At 51.6% G+C, this 27250-nt stretch overlaps 1 protein-coding gene across 4 annotated transcripts, besides 1 other annotated feature; it reads right to left on the bottom strand.

Moving 5' to 3' along the window:
- Positions 1-801: 801 nt before the first annotated feature.
- TBC1D13 (TBC1 domain family member 13) lies at positions 802-23979 on the bottom strand. Of its 4 annotated transcripts, none has more exons than NM_018201.5 (12): positions 23856-23979; positions 22825-22898; positions 20457-20497; positions 19791-19852; positions 19539-19638; positions 18658-18740; positions 14018-14177; positions 7772-7982; positions 7113-7276; positions 5213-5373; positions 4921-4978; positions 802-3418 (listed from the first exon to the last, which is right to left on the bottom strand). In NM_018201.5, the coding sequence occupies exons 1-12, from the start codon at positions 23876-23878 to the stop codon at positions 3353-3355; spliced, it is 1203 nt and encodes a 400-aa protein (NP_060671.3). In that variant the 5' UTR covers positions 23879-23979; the 3' UTR covers positions 802-3352. The 4 variants fall into 4 exon arrangements, with proteins under 4 accessions (NP_060671.3, XP_047279435.1, XP_005252117.1 ...); XM_047423479.1 differs by having other exon boundaries at positions 5213-5310; XM_005252060.3 differs by lacking the exon at positions 20457-20497.
- Positions 23842-24331: a silencer, noted in NCBI's record as "silent region_20352". NCBI's record gives its function as "represses an Ori minimal core promoter by ATAC-STARR-seq in GM12878 lymphoblastoid cells {active_cell/tissue: GM12878}" and the evidence as "EXISTENCE:reporter gene assay evidence [ECO:0000049][PMID:35858748]".

The following is a 27250-nucleotide window of genomic DNA, read 5'->3' as shown; positions in this document are numbered from 1 at the left end:
TCACTTTAGTTCTAACAGCTTTTTGGTGAAGTCTTTAGGGTTTTTTCTAATATAAGATCATGTTGTTGGCAAAGAGAGACAATTTCACTTCTTCCTTTCCTATTTGGATGCTTTTTCTTTCTCTTGCTTAACCAGTCTGGCTAGTACTGCCAGTACTATGTTGAATGAAAGTAGAGAGTGGGCATCCTCGTCTTGTTCCTGATCTTGGCTCACACCTGTAATCCTAACACTTTAGGAGGCCAAGGCGGACGGATCACAAGGTCAGAAGTTGAGACCAGCCTGGTCAACATGGTGAAACCCCGTCTCTACTAAAAATACACATTAGCCAGGTGTGGTGGCGGGCACCTGTAATCCCAGCTACTTGGGAGGCTGAGGAAGGAGAATCGCTTGAACCCAGGAGGCGGAGGTTGCAGTGAGTGGAGATCGTGCCACTGCACTCCAGCCTGGGTGACAGAGCAAGACCCCGTCTCAAAGAAAATAAAATTAAATTAAAAATAAGGAAAAGATGTTGAATTTTGTCAAATGCTTTTTCCACATATAATGGATGGTCTAAGCTTTTTTAAATCTGAAAAATAACAGGCTATGTAATCATGTATGCAGAACCTCCTTAGCCAGTACTCACTCCCTCCTCCCCCAGCTGCAGACTGCTGAGGCTGAACTGGAAGAATCCAACAGGCTCTTCCCAGAAGGATTTCCTGGACCTTTTCTTAGAAGGGCTACTCTAAGAGACTCTGACTCCATCCCTGTTCATTTTTCCCTGTTCTGAGGTCTCCAAAGTTTCAGCTCATCACAGCACCAATGCCCATTGCAAAGAACACATGATTTATTCAAGACAACTCGTCATCAACAGCACTGACTCAAGGAACAAAACAGATGAAAAAACTAAAGCAAACGTTCTGACCCTCTGGAGTGAGACCCGCTGAATTCATACAGCTCAATCTGTAAGTGTCCAAGATCCAGGGGGCAGGTTCTCAAGCAGGAAGCCTCAGGCACTCTGGCTCTGTGGGGACCTCCCTTGGGCATCTGCTTGAGAATCTGGGGAAGGGACATTATCAGGGCAGGTCCTTTCTGCAGGCGGTGTCCTGCTGGGAGCTCAGCCTAACCAAGGCCTGGTCCCTGTGCTCTTGACCTTCATCTCAAGGTCAAGGAGAGGGCACTTGACCCAACTCTGCCAGCGAGGCAAAGTAATGGTGATTCAAGTAGTGTGGTTCCAGGAGGGAAGGTAGGGGGCAGACAAGAGTGAGTGCACTAAAGAGTCCTGGGCAGTGTCTGCTGGGTCCCAGGCAGTGGCCCAAGCTTATGAAGGGGTTGGAGAAGGGGCTGAACCACCAGCTGACAAGTCCTGGAGAGAGGGTGGCCCAGGTGAGCAGGAAGCATCATGCCTCTGCCTCATCCTGGAGGTCCTGGAGTCAGCCCAGTTCTCTTCCCATCTTTACACTCAATTCCAGTACAGAACTCAGAGCCCGCTCAGCCAGGACCTGCTCGAAAACCAGGCAGTTCCTAGAAGCATGGGGAGAAGAGGCTGACTTTGATCTTGGAAAATGAAGAGGATCTTGTCTCCAACTCCTTTCTCCCTTCCTATACCCATGCCTCATCCCCAGAGCACTTGCCAATGTGCAATACATAGCCAGGAGTCTGAATAAATAGTCAAAGTCTCCCAAATACTGTGCTCTGGGAGAGGAGACAGGCAGGTGCGGAAATCCAGGCGGCATCAAAGGAAAAGCCTGGTAGAAGAGCCACCTGGGGAAGCCTTTCCTGGCCCAAAGCCGGGCTTGGAAGGGCAGCGAGAAGTCCTGCCCACCAGACTCGGAAAGCTTTGGGGGCAGGAGGGCTGCTGGGGCCTGACTCCTGCCAGCCAGTCTGGAGGACGAGGGTCCTCACTATGGCACCCGGCTTCCGGACGCAAACCTTGTACAAGGAGGGAGGTGACTTGGTGAGAACTGGGAGTGGCCAGCTGCCCCTGCTCAGGGTACACCTGCTCCAGCCCTGGGAACAGCTCAGGCAGGGGTCAGAGAAGGCCCTGCACCTCCCTCAGCCCGCAGCGGGTGGAGGGGTACACAGAGGCACAGACATGGCCCTCCTGGAACTGGCAGGACCCAGGGCCTTTAAGCTCAGCTACCCCTGGCCCCAGAGAGGCTTCCTCGGGCCCCACTTGCCCTTTGTGGGACTCACTCAACCCAACCCTGGGTTGGGACCTGGAAGCCGAGGGAATGACAACTCTTCTGAAGCAATGGGTTCCGACCCTGGGCTCAGAATCAAGGTCCTTTTCTTTTCGGACAGGAGGGCCTCTGGGGGAACCTCCAGAAAAACCAGCTCCCCCTCTTCCTTCTCCCTCCCTGGGCAGAAAGCAGGGGCAGGAGGCTCAAAGCTTCATCCTTACTCAGCAGCATTTGGTTTCCAAGATTTCTGTGTAGGGAACGGGTTCAGAACCCTCTAAGTGAGGCACGGAGGACTCCCTCCCAGTTGGGAGGACCTAGGAGCCAGGGCTGGGGGATGGGAACAGGAGGCAAAGGCCAAGCTTGACCTCCAGGGGCCTTGCTGAGCCAGTCTCCTCATCTGTCTCCCAGGTTCAGGGGAGCAGAGGCAAGCGGGGAGAGGAGGTGGCTCAGGATAAGGCACCCCAACAGAGAAGGGCAGGGAGAGTAATGGAGAGAGGAATCATGAAGCAAGACACAGTCCCACTCTGGGAAGGAGGTGGAAGGAGACAGGCAGAGAGGTAGAGACAGAGAAGGAGGGGCTGGGAGACCTGGAGGCCTGAGAGACCCTCACTCCCTAACACACACACACACACACACACACACACACACACACACACACACACACGGAGAAGATGCCTGGGGACTTGGGCCCACATTCACACCGACCGACTACAGACATCTGTGGGTGAGACAGACGGCAGGACTCAGCTTTCAGTGTCGCCTTCCCTGTGGAGCAGCCGAAGTGCCCCGCTCAGAAGCGGTTTCTGGCCCATTGGCCAAGCACCTCCCCTGAGTGGAGCCCAGGAGAAGACCAGAAGCAGGAACTGAGGCTGGGGCGGCAGAGCCGAGGCAGGGAGGGGCCCCTGCCAGCCTCCCAGTGCCAGAAACGGCCCTGGCCCAGGAAGGACAACTTCCCGAGCTCCAGCCCTCCTCAGTATCCTGGGCAAAGAGGGCAGAGTGCAGGGCAGGTGGGGAGCTGGGCGTGGCGGCAGAAGGAGCACGGCACAGTGTGTCCCCAGTGGGCATGGCCTGGGTCTCGGGCCGATCCTGTGGCTTCCCCTCAGGCTGGGTTCCTACAGGTTTCTATGTGTCCCGGGAGCCAGGGCACAGGGTCGGGAGGCTTCTCTCCGGAACATGGGCCTCTTGCCGCCGGGCTACTTTGAGTCTTGGAGCTCCTTGGCTTTCTGCAGGATCTGGCAGACATCTGTGATGGGGTAGTCCTGGGCACAGGAAAAGGCCAACAGTTGCCTCTGAAGCCACTTCACCCCTGCCACACCCACACCCTCCCTGCTGGGACCCGTTGCCATGCTGGATCCTGGGCCTCAGGGGCAGGAGCACAGAACACCAGGCATCCCACACTCCCCAACCCCCAGACCCCTGCATGCAGCTGACGCTACACCATGCAGCACCAACTCAACGATCCAAACACAACCACTCCCAGGCTCTTGCGGCCCTTTCCTCAGGACCAGACCGTGCTGCCTCAGCTCTCCCACTACTGCCACTGAACCCGAGCTCCCTCGTGTGGAGCCAGTAGGACTGGGCCAGTGTCTGAGCATCAGCGCGAAGTCCCAACAGCCCTGTGAGTGGCCACTGTGATTCTGCACTTTTTCCAGATCTGGTCCATGAAGTTAGGGAAAAGCAACTCTAGGCTGGGCTTGGTGGCTCACACCTGTAATCTCAGCACTTTGGGAGGCTGAGGTGGGCGGATCACCTGAGGTCAGGAGTTCGAGACCAGCCTGACCAAGATGGTGAAACCCTGTCTCTACTAAAGGTACAAAAATTAGCCAGACGTGGTGGCACACACCTGTAATCCCAGCTACTCGGGAGGCTAAGGCAGGAGAATCACTTGAACCTGGGAGGTGGAGGTTGCAGTGAACCGAGATTGCACCACTGCACTCCAGCCTGGACAACAGAGCGAGACTCTGTCTCAAAAAAAAAAAAACAACAACAAAGCAACACTAAGGCCACGTGCTGGTGAAGAAGCTGAGACCCAGAGATGCTGTAACTTGGCTTGGGTCACATGATGAGCACAGCAGAGCAAAACTGTGGACCTAAAGCTGTAGGCCCTTGAGCCCATGTTCTTTTTTTCTGAGACAGAGTCTTGCTCTGTCCCCCAGGCTGGAGTGCAGTGATGCGATCTTGGCTCACTGCAACCTCCACCTCCCAAGTTAAAGTGATTCTCCTACCTCAGCCTCCCAAGCAGCTGGGAATTACAGGTGCATGCCACCAAGCCCGGCTAATTTTTGTATTTTTAGTAGAGACGGGGTTTCGCCATGTTGGCCAGGCTGGTCTTGAACTCCAGACCTCAGGTGGTCCACCCACCCCAGCCTCCCAAAGTGCTGGGATTATAGGCATGAGCCACCGCGCCCGGTGAGCCCATGTTCTTAATCACTACACCCCACCCTCCTTCCCCGGGCCTGAGCATGGCCACCAGCAAGCACGGCCATGTTCTGGGCACCTGCTGTGTCCTAGGTGTGAACACCTACGTAGAGTACACGGTTTGAAGGCCAAGTCACTTGCTCAAGGCCACCCAACATTCCAGGTCAGTGGCAGAACCAGGATTCAAACCCAGATCCAAACCAGATCTGCTCAGGGGTCTGGACTTTAATCCCTACTACACTCCGCTGCCCCTGCCCAGCCTGTCGCAGCAGCTGGCGTGGGCAGGTGCCTGGCGAGTGCCAGCCTCATGGCAGTGGCTGAGCCTGCCCCCAACTCCCATTACCTGCAGCAGCCGCATATTCACAGTGAAGTCCCCTTCCAGCAACTGCTCCCGGATCAGCCTATGAAAAGCAGCAGCAAAAGCGCTGGGACCTGGGATGCTCTGAGTGCAGGCCCTGCCCACTCCTCCCTCCCTACCCACCTCAAGTTTGGTTTGTCGCCCTCCCAAGGACTCCAGAATCCCACTCCAGCCATGAAAGAGCAGCCCTGCCCACCCTTCGGGGCGGAGGGTCCTCCTGTCTGGCTTCTCCAAGGACTGCCCAGGTGAGCTGATGACAGCTCATGCCCGCACTCACATGAGCATGGCGCAGCAGACGAGGAGGAGGAAGTCAAAGCGGTTGTCATCGGCGAAGAGGGAGTCCCAGATGCGGATGACGTCAGGCAGCAAGAACTCCTGGGACAGCAGCAGTGTCAGCCAGCGGAAGGCAAAGAACTGAGGCTTGATGTTCTGCTCTTGCTGGGGAGACAGCGTGGGGGGTGGGGGGCATGACTCTGTGTTGGCTGCCGGCCATGGAGCACCACGCAGTGGGTCAGAAGTGAATTCAGAACAGCAGGGCCCAGCATGCCAGGTGTGAGCACCAGGGCTGGCACCAGGCTGCCGGACAGCCTTGCCTGGTAAAGGGGCGGAGCCTGTTTGCTGCCAGCCAACATCCTCAGATCTTCCTATTTTTTAAAGAGAAGCTGGAAACCCAAACCTTTATATAATAAGCTCTCCAGATTTATAAATGATGGCTCAAACTCTTTTCACACACTTTGCAGATGATAGCCTTGGGTTTGTGGATGTGCTGAGTGACCATCACAGGGCACTTACTAAAAGCCTGGGCTATGCTTAGAATATTAAATATGTCCTCTCACTCATTTAATCCACAGAACAATTCCACAGGCAATTATTCCCAGTAGAGACAAGCCTTCTGGTCAGCCACAGTGAATATTAACTGAAAAAGCATGCTACAAAACAGCAAAAGCATACTTCCTTTTTTTTTTAGAGATGAGGTCTCGCTATATTGCCTAGGCTGAAGTGCAGTGGCACAATCATGGATGGCTCACTGCAGCCTTGACCTCGAGGGCTCCTCTCTCAGCCTCCCGAGTAGCTGAGACTACAGGCCTGTGCCACCATGCCTGGCTAATTTGTTTTTAAATTTTTTGTAGAGACAAAGCTTCACTATGTTGCTCAACCTCTGGGCTCAAGCGATCCTCCCGCCTCAGTCTCCCAAAGTGCTAGGATTACAACTGTGAGCCATCACACTCAACCCATATTTGTTTAAAAAGATATCATTATTCCTGGCCAGCCAGGCACAGTGGCTCATGCCTGTAATCCCAGCACTTTGGGAGAGGGAGGTAGGCGGATCACTTGAGGTCAGGAGTTCGAGACCAGCCTGGCCAACACAGCGAAATCCCATCTCTACTAAAAATACAAAAACTAGCCAGGCGTGGTAACGCACGCCTGTAATCCCAGCTACTGGGGAGGCTGAGGCATGAGAATTGCTTGAACCTGGGAGGCGGAGGTTGCAGTGAGCTGAGATTGCACCACTGCACTCCAACCTGGCCTCTGAGAGAGAGAGTCCTTCTCAAAAAAAAAAAAAAAAAAAAAAAAACAGAAAAAAAAGGGCTGGGCACGGTGGCTCATGCCTGTAATCCCAGCACTTTGGGAGGCCGAGGCGGGTGGATTACGAGGTCAGGAGATCATCAAGACCATCCTGGCTAACACAGTGAAACTCCATCTCTACTAAAAATACAAAAAATTAGCCGGGCACAGTGGCGGGTGCCTGTAGTCCCAGCTGCTTGGGAGGCTGAGGCAGGAGAATGGCATGAACCTGGGAGGTGGAGCTTGCAGTGAGCCGAGATTGTGCCACTGCACTCCAGTCTGGGCGACAGAGCGAGACTCCATCTCAAAAAAAAAAAAAAAATGAAGTTAACACTTACCTCAGAAGACTACTAACAGCTTAACCAATTTAGTTCATAGTAAATGCCCTGCAGTATGCCTGGCACACAATGGGCACCATTCTCAACTTTCCCCTTCCCTCCCAGCTGGGCTCCACCATCAGCTGCCTCAGCACATGGGTCAGCGTCCCGGGCAGCAGCAGCAGCAGCTACTTCTGACCCCCAGACTCAAGCGAGACCTCGCCCTGGGCTGGGATGGCACAGCAACTCTCTGCCTCCTGTCCCTTTCCACCCGTCTGTTCCTGGGGTCCTCACCAGTTTCAGGTAGAGCTCCACATCCTTATCTTTCAAGGTGGAGTAAACCTTCTCCATCTTGTAGGTGATGCCACACTGCGAGTCATCCAGGCTCTTGATAAAGTTGTCCCGGATCTCGGCCATGAGGTTGGTGAAGCAGAAAAAGGTGTCTGCCTCGGCGTGCTCTGGGAGAGAGCAGGATGGGGGCAGAAGTGGCGCACTCCAGGCCCACCCCACCTCTCACCTACCAGACATCTGCCCTGCTCTGAGCCCCGCCGAGTTGCCCCATCCTCATGGTCTGGCTCAGTCCTTCCTCTGTCCTTGACCCCTCTCCACCCCCAGGCTAAAGACATCGCCTCTTTCTTCTCACATCTGGCAATACTGTACATTCACTTAGCAGTTTATTACACACTCTCCTGATGACAATTTAAAAATCATTATTTAAATCTTATAATTCGGCTTCCTACATATCCACCTTCTCTATCAGAATTAAATTACAAATATCAAGAGATCAGTAAACAACCAACATTCTAGAAGATCACAGCTGCAAAGGATCTCAGAGATGATCCAGGCCAACTCCTCATCTGGCAGAGGGAGAACAGAGGCCCGAGAGGGAAAGTGAGGTGCACAGCCTGACACGGGCCAGCAACGAGGGATGTGGGCACCAAGAGCCTTCTTACCTTTCCACTCACTATTGGGGTCGGTGGCAAAGGTGTAGTAGAGGGGCCCCACGATTTCATTCATGCCTTGCACATAAGCGATGCCAGGGTTGAGCTTGGCGTAGATGAACAGGATCCGCTCCACCACCTCCCAGTGGGCCTCACAGCCATTGGGCAGCACCTCATACTCATTTAGGGATGATGGCACAGAGTTCTTGTGTGGGGAGCTCATCTGGAGGAGAAGAGGAGGAGCCCATCAAGAAAGACAATGCTGGGGTCAGTGGCTCATGCCTGAAATCCCAGCACTTTGGGAGGCTGAGGTGGGAGCTGAGCCCCAGTGGTCGAGGCTGCAGTGAGCCGTGATTACACCATTGCATTCCAGCCTGGGTGATAGAGCAAGACCCTGTCTCAGGAGAAAAAAACAAAAACAAAAAAAGAGACAACATGGGCGGGCCACAATAGCTCATGCCTGTATTCCCAGCACTTTTGGAGGCCAAGGCAGGAGGATCACTTGAGCCTAAGAGTTCAAGACCAGCCTGGGCAACATAGGGAGATCCCGTCTCTACAAAAAATGTAAATGTTAGCCGAGTGTGAAGGCACGCACCTGTGGTCCCAGCGACTTGCGAGGCTGGGGCAAGAGGATCACTTGAGACCACGAGGCTGAGGCTGCAGTGAGCTATGATCACATCACTGCACTCCAACCTGGGTGACAACAAGACACTGTCTCAAAAAAAAAAAAAAAAATGGACAATGTGAAGGAGGACAATGTGTTCTTGCCAGAAATGTAAATGTTTACTTTTAAGCCTGGACCTATCTAGCATATGGGACATACACTGGCACAGAGGAACAAGTCAAACGCCACCATGAGGAAACAAGGAGACAAACCTAGAATATGGGACATTCTGCAATACAACAAATGGTCCTAAAACCTAACTTATGGTGCTAAAAGTCAGAGCAGTGAGAAGTACTAACTAGGAAGGGGCATGCAGGAACTTTCTGGATGTGGACATGTTCTGTATCTTGACTGACTGGCACTTACACAGGTACACACACAAGAAAAACATTCTCTAATTGTACACGTAATTGCACGTAAGTTACATTTCAATTTAAAACAAAAACTTTAGGGCCGGGCACGGTGGTTCATACCTGTAATCCCAGCACTTTGGGAGGTCAAGACGGGCAGATTACCTGAGGTCGGGAGTTCAAGACCAGCCTGACCAACATGGAGAAACCCTGTCTCTATTAAAAATACAAAAAAATTAGCCAGGCGTGGTGGCGTATACCTGTAATCCCAGCTACTCAGGAGGCTGAGGCAGGAGAAGCACCTGAACCCAGGAGGCGGAGGTTGTGGTGAGCCGAGATTGCACCATTGCACTCCAGCCTGGGCAACAAGAGTGAAACTCCATTTCAAAAAACAAACAGGCTGGGTGCGGTGGCTCACGCCTGTAATCCCAGCACTTTGGGAGGCTGAGGTGGGCAGATCACGAGGTCAGGAGACCAAGACCATCCTAGCTAACACGGTGAAACCCTGTCTCTACCAAAAATACAAAAAATTAGCCAGGCGTGGTGGCGGGCACCTGTAGTCCCAGCTACTCGGGAGACTGAGGCAGGAGAATGGCATGAACCCAGGAGGCGGAGTTTGCAGTAAGTGGAGATCGTGCCACTGCACTCCAGCCTGGGTGACAGTGCGAGACTCCGTCTCAAAAAAAAAAAACAAAAAACAAAAAACAAAAAAATCTTAAATATGTCAAAAACAAACAACTGGCCAAGCCCAAGACTTTTCTTTCTTTTATTTGCCCCCCTGAGACAGAGTCTTGCTCTGTCACCCAGGCTGGAGTGCAGTGGTGCGACCTCAGCTCACTGCAACCTCCACCTCCCAGGTTGAAGTGATTCTCCTGCCTTAGCCTCCTGAGTAGCTGGGAGTACAGGCACCCACCACCATGCCCAGCTAATTTTTTGTATTTTTAGTAGAGACAGAGTTTCACCATGTTGGCCAGTATGGTCTTGAACTCCTGGCCTCGTGATCCGCCCGCCTCAGCCTCCCAAAGTGCTGGGATTACAGGCATGAGCCACCGCGTCCAGGCTGGCCAAGCCTTTTCAAAAAGTCAGCTGTTGAGGGGATGGGGTTGGGGAGGGGAGGCCTAGTCCAAATCAAGAGACCAAAGAAAGAGAATATCCAAAGATACCACTGGCACCAGCTGAGGACATCTCAATTGTTCATGGGTTGGGTATCAGGTGATATTATGGACTCATGGTTAATCTTCCCAGATGTGCTAATGGTAAGTAGGAGAATGCCCTTCTTCTTTTTTTGAGATGGAGTCTTGCTCTGTCACCCAGGCTGGAGTGCAATGGAGTGATCTTGGCTCACTGCAACTCTGTCTCCTAGGTTCAAACTATTCTCCCACCTCAGCCTCCCAAGTAGCTGAGATTATAGGTGCTCACCACCACGCCTGGCATTTTTTTGTTGTTGTTTTGTATTTTTAGTAGAGAGGGGGTTCCACCATGTTGGTCAGGCTGGTCTCAAACTCCTGACTTCAGGTGATCCACCTGCCTTGGCCTCCCAAAGTGTTGGGATTACAGGTGTGAGCCACCGCACTTGGCTGACAATGCCCTTATTCTCAGGAGATCCTACCGAAGTACTCGATGGTAAAAGGTCAGACACCTGCAACTTACTCTCTCTATATATAATACACACACAAATAAAGCAATGTGAAAAACGTTAACAACTGTTGCATTTAGATGGAAAGTATACAGATAGTTATCCAGTGTACTCTCCTTTCAACTTTCCTGAATGTTTGAAAATTTTCATAAGAAAAGGTTGGAGGCCAGGCACAGTGGCTCACACCTGTAATCCCAGCACTTTGGGAAACTGAGGTGGGTGGATCACTTTAGGTCAGGAGTTCGAGACCACCCTGGCCAAAAATCTCTACTAAAAATACAAAAATTAGCCAGGTGTGGTGGCACGCGCCGATGATCCCAGCTATTCAGGAGGCTAAGGCACGAGAATTGCTTGAATCCAGGAGGCAGAGGTTGCAGAGCGCCAAGATTGTGCCACTGCACTCCAGCCTGGAAGAAACAGCGAGACTGTCTCAAAAAAAAAAAAAAAAAAAAAAAGTTGGAAGATAAATAAAGAGATGATGATCCCTACTGAAGACTCCTACAATGAGCACGGGTCCCCAACACCAGCTGCCTGCCAGGATCCCTTGGGAACTTTGTAAATCAAGTGCTGGGCCCGGCCCTAGGCCTGCTCAGGCGGAAGCTCCAGAGGTGAGTGACCCATATGCGAGAACCCAGGCAGTGACAGTGGATGAAGCCATCCTGGAAGCATAGGGTCCTGGAGACATTAAACTCTCTCTCCCCTAACATACACATACATATGTATGCGCACACATGCAGGGATGTTCACACACACAGACACACATCAGCCACATTTACCAAGAGCTTTTTTATTTTTTATTTTTGAGACGGAGTCTCGCTCTGTCGCCCAGGCTGGAGTGCAGTGGCGCGATTTCGGCTCACTGCAAGCTCTGCCTCCCGGGTTCACGCCATTCTCCTGCCTCAGCCTCCCGAGTAGCTGGGACTACAGGCGCCTGCGACCACACCTGGCTAATTTTTTGTATTTTTAGTAGAGACGGGGTTTCACCATATTAGCCAGGATGGTCTCGATCTCCTGACCTCATGATCCGCCCGCCTCAGCCTCCCAAAGTGCTGGGATTACAAGCGTGAGCCACGCCTGGCCCTTAACAAGAGCTTTTTATGCGGCAGACAATGCTGTACAGGTATTCCTCCATTTAATCCACTGAACAATCTAAAATATTCTCTCAACATCATTTTCAAGATGAGGAAACTGAGGCTCAGAAATGTCGGGCCACTCCTTAAATGTCTAACATTAGGTGTTGGCATCAGGACTTGACCCTGAACTGGCTGACTCCCAAACCTAAGGTCCAGGACTTCAGGGCAGGCTGCCTCCTGAGGATGCCCAGGGCTTTCTGCTTTTGAAGAATCTGCACAGCCATGACCTCATTTCATCCTCTTGGCAGCTCAGGCAGGGCAGAAATGATTATGCCCAGTTTATGGTCTAGGAAACAAAGGCCAGGATATGTGTGACTTGCCCAGAGTCACACAGATGGTCTTTAACTCAAACTGCCCAATCACGAACCCAGAGGCTTAGGGATGAAGTTTCTGGTGGGTTCTCTGCTACCAGGACCAAAAGTTAAACCAGGTAACAGTGCTCTTTACACCTAGTTACTACAGTGAAAGGAATGACAGGAGCCAGTCCCCTCCCGGCCCTTCAGCCAGGAAATCAGCAGCCAAGAGTACTGCCCACAAAGCCAGCCTCCTGGTTATCTAGTCACGCAATCTGCACTGCACAGCAGTTCTGCTGGGCACCCAACTCTCGTAGGCACCTGCAACCCTGGATCGGCCATATCTGCCCCTGCCTGTCAGAGCTTCGATCAAAGTCATTTCCAGCTGGGTGTGGTGGCTCACGCCTGTTATCCTGGCACTCTGGGAGGCCCAGGTAGGAGGATCGCTTAAGCTCAGGAGTTCAAAACCAGTCTGGGTGTCATCGCAAGACTCTGTCTCTATTTAAAAAAATAAAACAAACAAACAAACAAAAAACAAAGTCATTCCCCAGGGGGAGAAAAACTTCTGCAGCAGTATCTGCCCTAGCTTGTTGGAGGCTACAGAAAAGGGTTTTTCCATTGATGGAAGACAGTGAAAAGTTTAGGGGAACAAGCCACTATTCCAGAGACCAAAGTAGGGGGTGTAAATTAAGGAATAAGATAATATACTTGTTTGACTACAAGGAGCTTCTCAGAGTGACAGGAATCTATTAAAAGTTGGGGGTCCTATCAGTTCCACCCAGAGTCTCTCAGATCTAACCCTGCTGCATCCCTGCCCCCACCACCTCTTGCCTAGACAACTGCAGTGGCCTTCCAGGTAGCCTCTCTACCGCCACTCCTGTATCTCCACAGTGCCTAAAGCATTTCCGACACAAGCAGATGTGAATTATGTCACTGCCCTGCTTACACTGCTGTAAAGGATTCTCCCCACCCCTCATGACAAAGGCCCCAAGTGGCCTTACCAGCACCAACCTCTTCACTCGCTCTCTGCTTCTAGCCACCCCGTGGCCTCCCTGACCTGGAACACACCACGCTCTCTCCCGCTGAGGACTTCGGCATATGCCCTCCTCTCCACCTGGAATGTTCTCTTCTTTTCTTTTTTTTTTTGACAGGGTCTCGTTTTGTCACCCAGGCTGGAATGCAGTGGTATAATCTAGACTCACTGCAACCTCCACCTCCCGGGTTCGAGCAATTCTACTGCCTAAGCCTCCCGGGTAGCTGGGATTACAGGCACCTGCCACCATGCCCAGCTAATTTTTGTATTTTTAGTAGAGACAAGGTTTCACCATGTTGGCCAGGCTAGTCTTGAACTCCTGACCTCAGGTGATCCACCCACCTCGGCCACCCAAAGTGCTGGGATTACAGGCATGAGCCACCACACCTGGCCAGGGCCAAATTTTTGTATTTTCAGTACAGATGGGGTTAAATCCCCGGGTTAGTCAGGCTGGTCTTGAACTGCTGGCCTTAAGTGATCTGCCTGTCTTGGCCTGCCAAAGTGCTGGGATTACAGGCATGGGCCATTGTGCCTGGCCGTTTTCTTAATTTTTATTTTTTTGAGACAGGGTCTGGCTCTGTCACCCACGCTGGAGGGCAGTAGTGTGATGTAGGCTCACTGCAACCTCTGCCTCCCAGGCTCAAACCATCCTCCTACCTCAGCCTCCTGAGTAGCTGGGACTACAGGCACATGCCATCATGCCCAGCTAATTTTTGTATTTTTTGTAAAGACAGGGTTTCACCATGTAGCCCAGGCTGGTCTTGAACTCCTGGGCTCAAGCAATCCTCCTGCCTCAGCCTCCCAAAGCGCTGGGATTACAGGCGTGAACCACTGTGCCCAGCCCTATCACATTTTCTCACATTTGTAATGACCTTCTCAGAGCCATCCCCACTATAAGATTAGAAGCCTGGCTCATTCACTCACTGTGATGCAGGGCCCTTCCCAGCAGCCATTACACCCAGATGGGACACAGTGAACCTCTGTTACCCAACTTTTAGAAAGCACCCCAGGATCTGGCAGCATCAGGATTGCGCTGAGTAACTGTCAAGCAGATGGTCATGGCCCGACACCTTGTGGCCAGGAGTTTAAGAGAAAAAGGAAAGAAAATACTGTTGGGGGAGTCCCTGGGGACCCCAGGTTGGCACTCACATTTGTGACCCCACTCCGGTTCCGGGCCACCGTCTGAGATTTCAGTGTTGTCTGTTCCACTCTCTTACGAAGGGTTTCAAACTCATTCTGGGGGTCCAGGATGAGGAGGCAAGGGTAGTCAGTGGCCCTCTGGAAGAAGGAAATGTCTGGGCACAACCTCCTGTCAAGAGGGAACAGGAAATAATCTTGTTACTCAAGGTGGAAGTTTTCGCCATCCCATCTGCCAGGAGACCCCAAGACTCCCCAAAAGCATTGTTTTTTGTTTTTGTTTTTGTTTTTGAGATGGAGTCTTGCACTGTCGCCCAGGCTGAAGTGCAGTGGAGCGATCTCTGCTCACTGCAAGCTCCAACTCCCGGGTTCACGCCATTCTCCTGCCTCATTCTCCCAAGTAGCTGGGACTACAGGCGCCCACCACCACGCCCGGCTAATTTTTTATTTTTTTAGAGATGGAGTTTCACCATGTTAGCCAGGATGGTCTTGATCTCCTGACCTCGTGATCCACCCACCTCAGCCTCCCAAAGTGCTGGGATTACAGGCATGAGCCACTGTACCTGGCCAGCATTGTTTGTTTTTAATTACAACGTTTTGAATCACTAGAGGTCAAGAGTTTGAGACCAGCCCGGCCAACATGGTAAATTTTGCCTCTATTAAAAATACAAAAATTGGCTGGGCACGGTGGCTCACGCCTATAATCCCAGCACTTTGGGAGGCTGAGGCAGACGGATCACCTGAGGTCGGGAGTTTGAGACCAGCCTGACCAACATGGAGAAACTCCGTTTCTACTAAAAAAATACAAAATTACCCGGGCGTGGTGGTGCATGCCTGTAATCCCAGCTACTCAGGAGGCTGAGGCAGAAGAATCGCTTGAACCTGGGAGGCGGAGGTTGCAGTGAGCCGAGATCGTGCCATTGCACTCCAGCTTGGGCAACAAGAGCGAAACTCCGTCTCAAAAAAAAAAAAAATTAGCCAGGCGCAGTGGGAGGTGCCTGTAATCCCAACTACTGGGGAGGCTGACACAGGAATTGCTTGAGCCTGGGAGGAGGAGATTGCAGTGAGCCAAGATCGCGCCACTGCGCTCCAGCCTGGGTGACAGAATGAGACTCAGTCTCAAAAAAATAATAATAACAACAACAATTACAACATTTTATTTTAAAAACAGTATTTTTTTAAAAAGCTGTAGTCATTGTATATGTATACATGCCCACATTTTATGTGTATTTGCAAATAGATATATACTTTTTTTTTAAAGTGTCATTATGGTCATACAACCTAACTCCTCTTTTAAACTCCAAACATATTTCCATGTAAAAATATTTATCTAGGTCAGGCACAGTGGCTCACCACTGTAATCCCAGCACTTCAGGAGGCTAAGGCAGGAGGGATCACTTGAGCCCAGGAGTTCAAGACCAGCCTGGGCAACAAAAGGAGACCCCATCTGTAAAAAAAATTAGTTGGGGCCAGGTGCGGTGGCTTACGCCTGTAATCCCAGCACTTTGGGAGGCCAAGGCAGGCGGATCACGAGGTCCAGAGATCAAGAACACCCTGGCTAACACGGTGAAACCTCGTCTCTAATGAAAATACAAAAAATTAGCTGGGTGTGGTGTCGGGCACCTGTAGTCCCAGCTACTTAGGAGGCTGAGGCAGGAGAATGGTGTGAACCCGGGAGGCGGAGCTTGCAGTGAGCCAAGATCGTGCCACCGCACTCCAGCCTGGGTGACAGAGTGAGACTCCTTCCCAAAAAAAAAAAAAAAAAAAAAAAAAAAAAAAAAAAAAAAAAGATGGTGACCATCCTAGCTAACACGGTGAAACCCCATCTCTACTAAAAATACAAAAAATTAGCCAGGTGTGGTGGCATGTGCCTGTAATCCCAGCTACTCAGGAGGCTGAGGCAGGAGAAATCACTGGAACCCGGAGGTTGCAGTGAGCCAAGATTGCGCCAGTGCACTCCAGCCTGGGCAACAGAGCAAGACTCCACCTCAAAAAAAAAAAAAAATTAGCTGGGTGTGGTGGCATGTGCCTACAGTCCTGGCTACTCAGGAGGTGGGGCAGGAGGATCACTTGAGCCTGGGAGTTCAAGGCTTCAGTGAGCTAAGATCAAGCCACTGTACTCCAGTCCAGCCTGGGCAACAGAGCAAGACCCTATCTCAAAAAAAAAAAAATTATCTAACATGCACAAACACAGGGTGGTTTGTAGTAGCAAAAGAGATTTGGTTCCATAAGTTTCACACTGTACAACAGAATATTATACAGCTGAACTGGAAAGATGTCCAAGACAGAGTGAGAGGGAAAACAAGTTGGGAGATGGTGTCTAGAATGTGATCAAGTTTTTAAAATATATGTATTGCAGTACACGCACATTTTTCAGACTTCTTATACTTAGCACATTGCAAACACGCTTCTAGAAGCACCAAAGGATCACTACCCATGTAAAACAGAACCTGGCCAGGCATGGTGTCTCATGCCTGTAATGCTAGCACTTTGCGAGGCTGAAGCGGGTGGATCACTTGAGGTCAGGAGTTCGTGACCAGCCTGGCCAACTGGTGAAACCCCGTCTCTCCTAAAAATACAAAAATCAGCCAGGCGTTGTGGCACATGCCTGTAATCCCAGCTACTAGGGAGGCTGAGGCAGGAGAATCGCTTGAACCCGGGAAGCGGATGTTGCAGTGAGCCGAGATTGCACCACTGCACTCCAGCCTGGGTGACAGAGGGAGCCTCTGTCTCAAAAAAAAACAAAAACAAAAACAAAAAAAAAACAGAAAACAAAAAAACAGAACCTATTTCCCCAGGTCACGGAGTGGTTCTTGACTTGAACACAGCAATCAGAACACCTCGTGGGTAAACACTGCACCAACCCTAGCCTGAGAGCACAAGAGGCAGTGCCTCCTTTTTCCTGCAGCCTGGCTGAGTTGCCCTGTGCGGGGGTCACATGGGGCCATCTGAAGATGAGCCTGGGCTGAGGAGCAGCACCCAGGGTGGCAAGGGAAAGGAGGACCCTGCTTTATCCTGCCATGCGCCTTCTTCCCCGGCCACAGGGCACTCTCATGTGCTGTGCCTCAGCCCAGCAGACTCTTCCACCCAGCTTGCTGCCTCCTCCTCTTTCATATCTCATCCTGAGCCTCCTCCCTGGAAAGGCTTTCCTCGATCCCCCAAAGGAAAACAGGGCCTCCCTCTGATTCTCTAAAAGCACCAGTTTTTCCCTCCTTCACAGCACTACAGTATTTGCAATTACATATCTGTTTCCAGGTTTAGTATATGTCTCCTGACTTACACTGGAAGCTCTCAGAAGGCAGAGACTGTTTCAGTCCTGCTCACTCCTAAACCCCTTCTGACACCGGCACTCGGCCATTCCTTGAGAAGGAGCTGAATGGAGGGGCACCTGTCTGTACTGGTGCAGACTGACTTGGGCACCTGAGAGCTGCCCCTTGGAGATTCTGAAGGGTCACTGCGGGTCAGAGTGCCAGCTTGTTCTGTCTAACCAAGTGCCGGGGGTCCCAGGCAGGCTGTTGTAAAAGGAACAGGATAAGCTCCCAGGACCCTTCTCTGATGGAGATCTGATCATTCTAAGGGCCTCTGTAAGTGCTAAGTCCCACGTATCTGTGGAGACCCAGCCCGTTCTGTGCCCTTAGCCTGAACCACCTTACTCCTACTTCACAATAGAGTAATGATCAGAAGGTGTGAGTCACTTGCCCAAGGTCACACAGCTAACAACTGGTAAATGCGGAATGGAAACCAGGCAAATGGACTCCAGAACCCAAGCCCTTGGCCACTCCACCCACCTGTGGACAAGGCCTGCCTTCTAGCTCCTCACCTAGCCCAACACGCTGCCAAACTCCCCAGCCCGACAGGGCCGCACAGCCAGCATCTCCACATTTCTTTACCAAGTGGAAAAGCACAAACACATTGTAGCTCAAGATTTTAAAAACTGTGTATTTGACCCTGTCACTCCTTTACTCAAAACCTTTGCATGGCTGCCTCATGCTCTTAGAATCAAGTCCAAGGTCCAGCCCCTATCTCCCACCCTGGCCTTGGCATTGTTCCTCAGATGTGCCAAGCTCTGCGGGCTCTCTGGACCTTGCCAAGGGCAGTTCCCTGCCCAACATGGCCTTTGCTGCACTCTTCCCCTGAGGCCTCCCACTCCTCAGATCTCAGCTGAATCACTGCTTCTCAGGTGAGGTTTCCCCAAACCCCCTCAAATTTTCCTTCAGGAGCATTTACCACGAATGCCATCTGCTAAGATCTAATGGGCTGAATGTCTGTCTTGCCATCCTCCCTTCTAGGTTCTAAGATCCTTAAGGAGAGGGAACACACCAGTGCTCAACCCTGAACTTAGTGCTAAGCCTGGCACACAAAAGGGGCTCAATACTTGTTGAATGAATGTCAGATGAATCCATAAACACCTGGGGTACAAATGAAACTACAGCTCAGATAAGAACAGCCAGGTACATGCAAGCACAGAATCTCCCTCGCTAGCCTCGTTCTCAGCCTATCATCAATAGTGCCTGGACCCAACCGCTGGGACAATCCACCAGCAGCTCCGCAAACACTCACCCATAGGCCCGGCCTGCAAATGGAAAAGACAGAGCTGCAGAGAGCCCCAGAAGTCCCATGGGCCAGCTCCCGGCCCCAGGCACCCTGCCTACCGGACATCTTTGTCGATCTGCAGCAGCACCTCGTTGTCCTTGAAGTACGTGTTCCACCGGCTGTCAGGGTTGGGGTTGAGTGGCTGTGGGGAGAAATGAAGATGCTCTGTCCAAGGCCCAGCTAGGCCCCGGGGCCCGATTCTATCCCGGAAACCTGAGCAGTGGCCTTGCTGCAACAATCCCACTGCACACTGAGGTGTGGTCCTGACACCACCTGCAAGATACTCAGAGGAGCCAACACAGCCCTTCCCTCAGCCTCCTGAATCCGTTCAAACTCCACAGCCGGGAGCCCAGCCTGGGGACCAGCTCTGAGGACTTCTCTGCTGGGCAGGGACTCTGTTCCTTTTCTGTCCGTTGCTCTAGCTCAAGAACTTTGCATATAACAGGTGCTCAGTAAATGTTTGCTTGCTGAATGAATGAATTTGGTTTCTTCGGCTCTCATTCATCGATGCTCTGAGTCGTCAATTCCTATCTGTGAGTCTGGGCCTGGGGCCCATCGATTTCTTTCTCACGTGCTGTGAAGCCCAGGGAGGAGCTCAGCATTTGAGGAGAACAAGGCTTCCTGGCAGCTTAGCCTCCCTCCCGCCCTGCTCTGACTTTCTTCAAGGAACAGGGATGAGGGTTGAAATAGACCATGTCCTCAGAGCACCTGACGCAGGGCTGCCCCTGCAATGCTCCCTGGACCCCAACTATCGTTTGTCTTACTGAGCCCAGGGCCCCCAAGCTTAGTGACCCAACGCAGAAAGGAGGAACTGGGAGGTCCAGAGGGGACTGACACCAGACTGCACCTACCCCCTGGCATGCAGGGGCCCTTGCCTGCTCCAAGGCCGCCACCCCTCCACATTCTGTATCCTGGGTCTCCGCTGTCAACCTCTACTCACATGGTCCTCAAAAGTCACATCCTCCCTGGACACACCCATGTTGGCCTTGGCAATGCCAGGCTGGATGATCATTTCCCTCAGGAACTGGGCATACAGCTCCCTGCAGGAGACAAGTGAGAAGGATGATTCCCAACGGTCCTGCCCAGGGAGCCCAGAGCAGAGCAGCAGCCGCAGGAGGCAGGGCGGCCCCAGCGGTACTGGCTCTGTCACATGCAAGGGCCCTCCTGTCACTGCCCTTACACGGGGTCTCACCTCTGCTTGGCCAGGATGGAGGTCCATGAGGCTCTCTCCAAGGGAAGGTAGTTCAAGAGAATCTGCACAGAGGGAGAAGGGCAAAGCTCTGGTGACCCTCCTGCACCAACGTCAGTCTTTAGGCGGGGATGACAGGCCTCAAGAAAAACATCTCATAAAGTCCCAAGAAGACAAGATGGGCTAAAATCCAGGAATGCCAGCATGAGCTAGGGGTAGCCTCCCCCTTCCTCCCCACTGCCTCCCTCCTCCTTTAACCCAAACCAGCCCTTCCCTCTGCTTTTCCTCACACAGACTCTTCCACATGATCATCAGACCCTGTGCTCTAAAGGGCTGGAAACCAGGACACTGGGCTTCCATGGCCACCTGAGCTGGGAGCTTTGGGCAAAGCACAGCCTTTGTTTTGTCCCAATAAGCATGACTTTCACTGTACTTCACGGACCAGGAAGCAGAGGTCTTCATTGTTGGCATTACAAAGTGTCCCATCCCCAAGGGGATCCCAGAGAAGACACCAAGAGGAACAGAAAACCCAGGACTTCCCAGAAAAGCTCCCTCAGACAAGCAAGGAAAGGTGCAGAACAGGAGGAAGAAGCCAGGGGTAGGGGCAGCCCATGCAGGAAAACCCAGGGACTCTCAGCAGAGCAGAAGCCCCACCCCAGGCACACCCACCTTCCAGCAGAGGCACCGCAGTCCGCCCTCACAGGGGATGCCTGTGGACACAGCAGGCAAAGGTCATGCCCCAGGCCAGAGTCCCAGAACCCCCAGCCCTTCACCGTGGAGCCAACTGGCGGGGAGTAGAGTGGGCAAGAAGTACTTCTTCAAGAATCATTTCCCCAAGAAAGATGACTAGATTGGATGGTTTCTTTTTTTTGAGATGGAGTCTCCCTCTAACACCTAGGCTGGAGTGAAGTGGCGCAATCTCGGCTCACTGCAGCCTCCGCCTCCCGAGTTCCAGCGATTCTCCAGCCTCAGCCTCCCAGGTAGCTGGGATTACAGGCACGCGCCACTGTGCTCAGCTAATTTTTGTATTTTTAGTAGAGACAAGGTTTCACCATGTTGGCTAGGCTGGGCTTGAACTCCTGACCTCAGGTGATCCCCCCACTTCGGCCTCCCAAACTGTTAGGATTACAGGCGTGAGCCACCATACCCAGCCTAGACTGGATGCTAATTTTTTTTTTTTTTTTTTTGGAGACAAAGTCTTGCTCTGTTGCCCAGGCTGGAGTGCAATGGCGTGATTTCTGCTCACTGCAACCTCCGCCTCCCCGGTTTAACTAATTCTTCTGCCTCAGCCTTGCAAGTAGCTGGGATTACAGATGTGTGCCACCACTCCTGGCTAATTTTTGTATTTTTAGTAGAGACAGGGTTTCACCATATTGGCCAGGCTGGTCTCGAACTCCTGACCTCAGGTGATCCACCTGCCTCAGCCTCCCAAAGTGCTGAGATTACAGGTGTGAGCCACCATGCCCGGCCTGAAATGTTCTTTTGAGGATAACACCTTCTCATCCTTGATATTCCTTCCTCAGGAGCAGCCTTTACCACCACCATGTCATCCTAATTCAGGTCAGTTCCCCCTGTTATAAGCAATAATGGCTCTGTGACTATTTCATAGCATCTGTCATAAGTGGAATTATTATATATATATATATATATATGGTGTATTTTCTTAACGTCTGTAACCCCTACTACTGGGTAAGCCCCAGAAGGACAAAAACCACATCTATTATTCCCAGTGCATAGCACAGAGCACTGCACATAGAAGATATTCCATACATATTTGTGGAATATAAACTAAGCTACGAATGCTAAGTATTTTGTGCTTTACAGATATTATTTCATTTAATCTTCATTATTACCCCAGTAAGTAGGGAAGATTAACGTAATTGTCGTAAGAAGGAAACTTATCTGTAAAACTCTTAACTACTAACACTGACTGCCTCTCCTTTGGGGCCTATATTTCACTCCTAAACAGAAAGACAAAGTTATCCTGCAATAAGATCAGGAAGCTCACTACCGCAGTTGCTGCTGTAGTATCCCTGGTACCATGAACATGAGTGAATACCTCCACTTCAGAATCTATATGAGGATGACAGGGACAATATAAGAAGTTCTTTTTTTTTTTTTTTTTTTTGAGATGGAGCTTCACTCTTGTCGCCCAGGCTGGAGTGCAATGGCGCAATCTCGGCTCACTGCAATTCCCAGGTTCAAGTGATTTTCCTGCCTCAGCCTCCCGAGTAGCTGGGATTACAGGCAAGTGCCACCAAGCCCAGCTACTTTTTTATATTTTTAGTAGAGACTAGGTTTCACCATGTTGGCCAGGCTGTTCTCGAACTCCTGACCTCAGGTGATCCACCTGCCTTGGCCTCCCAAAATGTTGGGATTACAGGCATGAGCCACGGCACCCGGCCAGAAGTTCTTGCTGGCAAAGTTACAAGGGCAAAAAAGTGACAAGAAGCTATGCAGAACACGTTGGGATATTTTTTAAAACAGGCAAAAAGAGAGTTATCTTTGTGCTCATTGGGGCAAAGTCTAACACAGCAGGATCAGCTCCTTAAAGTCAGTGTCCCAAGGCTACCCATTTTACCACTAGCCAAGGTTTAGTTCAGGCAGCTTAGACCCCAAGCCAGGGAGAGAACAAGGAACAACCCTGCAGTTAACCAAACTCACCAACACAGGAAGCTAGCTAAGGAATGAGGAAAGACTGTCCTGGGCTCAAAAGGTCCCAACTCTCATTCTCCAGGCTTCAGTCCTGTCCTGTTACTCTCAGGAATCTGGCACCTCCTGCGGAAAGCTTAGGAAAGCTTAGGGCATGCTAAGTGTGGCCACTGCCCCTCTGGGAAACCCCTCCAAGCTCAAGGCAGTCACTGCCTGTTCAGCTCTACAGAATCTGGAAAAGGCCCCAAGAGTCTGTGTGTAATTTCCTTCCAAGGCCCCAGCCCCCAGCAGCTGGGCCCCAGAGCTGACCAGGTGTGGCCTCCCCCTGTATTCTAGCCACAGGGCTGCTGTAGGGAAACCGTGAAAATACAGAATGGCTTCTTACCACTAAAGCTGAGTTCCCGCAGCTTTTCCAATGCAATTGAGGGCTCCTTCAGGACATCCTGGAAATCTGCAATTCTGGAAGGGGAGATAGGGCGGCAAATGAAGCATGCTGATATCGGCTCAGTGAGACCCACAGCCCTCAGCTCCCTCACACTGCCAGTTTCCAACCTGTGCCTCTCTCCCCTTTAGGACATAAAAATCACACAGCTTAGTCAAGGTCCTCACCAAAGACAGCTTTGGAGAACAACAAAACTATATTTCACTTCTTCCTCTACAACCAGAAACACAGAATGCCAGGGAAGAAACTTGAGAGATATTCTTGTCTAGAAGTTCCCAAATGAGGACCATAAAATTAGACATATTCCAACATTCTAATACTTAGTGAGCTGACATTTACTGGGCACTTCCTGCCGGCCAGGCCGGGTCCACGCACAGCCACCAACTGAACTCCTTGGACCTCAGGAACCAGGAGTAATTTGATATGCAGACAATGGACCATGCTCACAAATATAACCATTACAAGACCTCTGGGCCTGCCAGAAGGCAAGGACAAAGGGTTTAAAAAACACGTCCTGAAGGAAAACTGAAGAGTGAGCAAAATTCAGCCAATGCTGCAGGATCTGGCCTGGGGGAGGGGCCAGACTGGAGAATGCAAGTTCTCTAGCAATCCTAGTAAGAAAAAGGCACGGGGGACAGGGTGCACTTGGAGAGAGTACGGGAGCAGGGGGATCAAAAGGGGGAAAGGCACGGGGGCGGGGCATGGGGGTCTGGATGAGGAAGACTCAGGGGAAGGGGGACACCAGGGGTCCAGGATGAGGGAGGCAGAAGCAGTGACATCAGGGGCAGGAGAAGGGCCGCCCCTCCGTCGTTCCTGCAGCCCACAGGCAATGAGGTTAGAAGGTGGACGCTCGAGACCCTCTGCCGAGGGGGTCTGCCGATTCCTGGCCACACCCGCGCTTCCCCCTTCTGAGGGGCAGAAGGGGCAGCCTGGCCAGGAGTGGCCCAGCCGGGTCAGGCCCCATGGCCCCTTACCGGCTCTTGTGCAGACTTGACATGGTGTTGACTTCCGGACCCCCCAGCCGCCTCCGCCGCCTGCGCCTCTGCCGCCTGCGCTGCCGCCGCCGCCGCCGCCCCCCAGGGACGCGGGGCTCTGCGCAAAAGCCTCCGGCGGGAAACACAGCCACTAGCCTGCGCGTTCCACCGCCTCAGCCCCGCCCCGCCCCGCCAGTCACGTGCCACCCCTCGACTCTCACGCTTCCACACGGTACTGGCGGCTACGGCCGGCCGGGTTGAGCGGGGCAACCTCGGGTCTGGTGGGCGTGGCAATCGCGGGCCGGGAGCCCCAGCGCCGCCGACCCTGCGGGCCAAATTTGAGAACCCGCCGGTGACAGCGCAGACTGTGTGTCTCTGGACTATTCCTTGCGCTTCCCTGGGCCTCAGTGTCTACTTACGCAATATACCTGTCACCCTGTCGTCTTCCCTGCACTCACCCCCCTGTAATTAACTACTGCATGATTGTTACAGGAGTCTCGGCCTCCCCTGCTAAACTGTTCAGGCCCCCCAGCTTATCTTGGTCTCTGCAGAATCCTCAAGGCCTGTATAGCAGGGACTCGCATGAACCGCCGTGCGCGGCCCAACTTTTTTTTTTTTTATAAAAACTATACCAGCAAACCCTATAAAATGTAAGTTAGGAAGAAAGAAAAAAACACAAATGATATCTTAAGAAAAATAGGCTGGACCGGGCGCGGTGGCTCATCCCTGTAAATTCCAGTGCTTTGGGAGGACGAGGCAGGCAGACCACTTGAGGTCAGGAGTTGGAGACCACTCTGGCCAACACGGTGAAACCCCGTCTCTACCAAAAATGCAAAAATTAGCCGGGCGTGGTGGCAGGCGCCTGTAATCCCAGCTCCTCGAGATTACCTTCTTTACAAAAGATGTAAAAATTAGTTGAGTAGGCCGGGCGTGGTGGCTCACGCCTGTAATCCCAGCACTTTGGGAGGCTGAAGCGGGCAGATCACCAGGTCAGGAATTTGAGAACAGCCTAACCAACATGGTGAAACCTCGTCTCTACTAAAAATACAAAAATTAGCCGGGTGTGGTGACGCACAACTGTAATCCCAGCTACTCAGGAAGCTGAGGCAGGAGAATTGCTTGAACCCGGGAGGCGGAGCTTGCAGTGAGCCGAGATAGTGCCACCGCACTCCAATAGCGCCACCGCACTCCAACCTGGGCAAAAACGCAAGACCCTGTCAAAAAAAAAAAAAAAAGAAAAGAAAAGAAAAGAAACTGCTTAAAGATTTTCCGAAATGGTTGTATTATTTAACACCTTTTTCTTGAGAAAAAAAAAAAAAGAAAGAAACAGCTAGCCAGGCGCGGTGGCTCACGCCTGTAATCCCAGCACTTTGGGAGGCCAAGGAGGGCGGATCATGAGGTCAGGAGATCGAGACCATCCTGTCTAACACGGTGAAACCCCATCTCTACTAAAAAATACAAAGAAAAAAATTAGCCGGGCGTGGTGGTGGGTGCCTGTAGTCCCAGCTACTCGGGAGGCTGAGGCAGGAGAATGGCATGAACCTGGGAGGCAGAGCTTGCAGTGAGTGGAGATTGCACGACTGCACTCCAGCCTGGGCGAAAGAGCGACACTCTATCTCAAAAAAAAAAAAAGAAAAAGAAAAAGAAAAGAAAGTGCTTAAATATTTTCCAAAATGGTTGTATTATTTAACACCTACCCCAGCAGTATATGAGAGTTGCTGTTGTACCACGTCCTCACCAATACTTGATGTGGTCAGTCTTTTTAATCTTAGACATTCTAGTAGATGTGAAGTGGTATCTCCTGCTTTAACATGCATTTCCCTAAAGACATATGATGTTGAGCATCTCTTCACACGTTTGCTATGCATATATACTCTTCTTTCTTTTTTTTGAGACATGGTCTCACTCTGTCACCCCAGGCTGGAGTGCAGTGGCGCAATCTCAGTTCACTGCAACCTCTGCCTACTGAGTAGCTGGGACTACAGGCGCATGCCACCATGCCCAGCTGATTTTTGTATTTTGAGGTAGAGATAGGGTTTCATCATGTTGGCCAGGCTGGTCTCAAACTCCTGACCTCAAGTGTCTGCCCACCTCAGGCCTCCCAAAGTGCTGGGATTACAGGCATGAGCTACCATGCCTGGCCTTCTTTTTTTTTTTTCTTGAGACGGAATCTCACTCTTGTTGCCGAGGCTGGAGTGCAATGGGGTGATCTCCAGCTCACGGCAACCTCTGCCTCCCGGGTTCAAGCGATTCTTCTGCCTCAGCCTCCCGAGTAGCTAGGATTAAAGGTTCATGCCACCCTGCCTGGCTAATTTTTATATTTTTTGATTTAAAAAAAATTTTGTATTTTTAGTAGAGACGGGTTTTCATCATGTTGGCCAGGCTGGCCTCAAACTCCTGACCTCAGGTTATTCTCCCTCCTCGGCCTCCCAAAATCCTGGGATTACAGGCGTGAGATACCATGCCTGGCAGCACCTGGCCTTCTAATTTTTTTTTTTTTTTGAGATGGAGTCTGGCTCTGTTGCCCAGGCTGGAGTGCAGTGGTGCAATCTCCACTCACCACAACCTCCGCCTCCTGAGTTCAAGCAATTCTCCTACCTCAGCCTCCCAAGTAGCTGGGATTATAGGCGCGCGCCAGTATGCCTGGCTAATTTTTGTAGTTTTAGTAGAGACGGGTTTCTCCATGTTGGCCAGGCTGGTCTTGAACTCCTGACCTCAGGCGATCTGCCCACCTTTGCCTCCCAAAGTGCTGAGATGACAGTCATGAGCCACCATGCCTGTCCCTATTGCCCGTTCTTTATTGTACTTTTTTTTTTTTTTTTTTTTTGAGACAGTCTCTCTGTTCTTGGCTGGGCTGGAGTGCAATGGCGCAATCTTGGCTCACAGCAACCTCTGCCTCCAGCAATTATCCTGCCTCAGCCTCCCAAGTAGCTGAGATTACAGGCGCCCACCACCACACCTGGCTAATTTTTGTATTTTAGCAGAGACGGGGTTTCACCATGTTGGCCAGGCTGGTCTCGAACTCCTGACATCAGGTGATCTACCCACCTCGGGCTCCCAAAGTGTTGGGATTACAGGCGTGCATCACCATGCCAAGCCTATTGTACTTTTTTTTTTTTTTTTTTTGATACGGAGTCTTACTCTGTCACCAGGCTAGAGTGCAGTGGCGCAATCTCGGCTCACTGCAACCTCCGCCTCCCGGGTTAAAGTGCTTCTCCTGCCTCAGCCTCCTAAGTAGCTGGGATTACAGGTGCCTGCTACCACACCCGGCTAGTTTTTGTATTTTTAGTACAGACGGGGTTTCACGATGTTAGCCAGGATGGTCTTGATCTCCTGACCTCGTGATCTGTTGTCCTCGGCCTCCCAAAGTGCAGAGATTACAGGCTTAAGGCTCC

The sequence above is a fragment of the Homo sapiens genome, chromosome 9, assembly GCF_000001405.40.
Source record: "Homo sapiens chromosome 9, GRCh38.p14 Primary Assembly".
NCBI lineage: Eukaryota > Metazoa > Chordata > Mammalia > Primates > Hominidae > Homo > Homo sapiens.
Note: the sequence above shows the minus strand (reverse complement) of the source record. Positions and strands in the feature narration are given on the sequence as shown.

Bases quoted from the DNA above. Each gene is read 5' to 3' on its own strand.
- TBC1D13 (NM_018201.5), bottom strand. From the start codon at position 23,878: ATGTCAAGTCTGCACAAGAGCCG. The intron at 19,639-19,790 runs GTGAGACCCCGT...TGTCTCCTGCAG, and splicing joins TCCATCCTGGCCAAGCAGAG to GGAGCTGTATGCCCAGTTCC. The intron at 5,374-7,112 runs GTGAGGACCCCA...CTGTCTCCCCAG, and splicing joins TGGAGCTCTACCTGAAACTG to CAAGAGCAGAACATCAAGCC.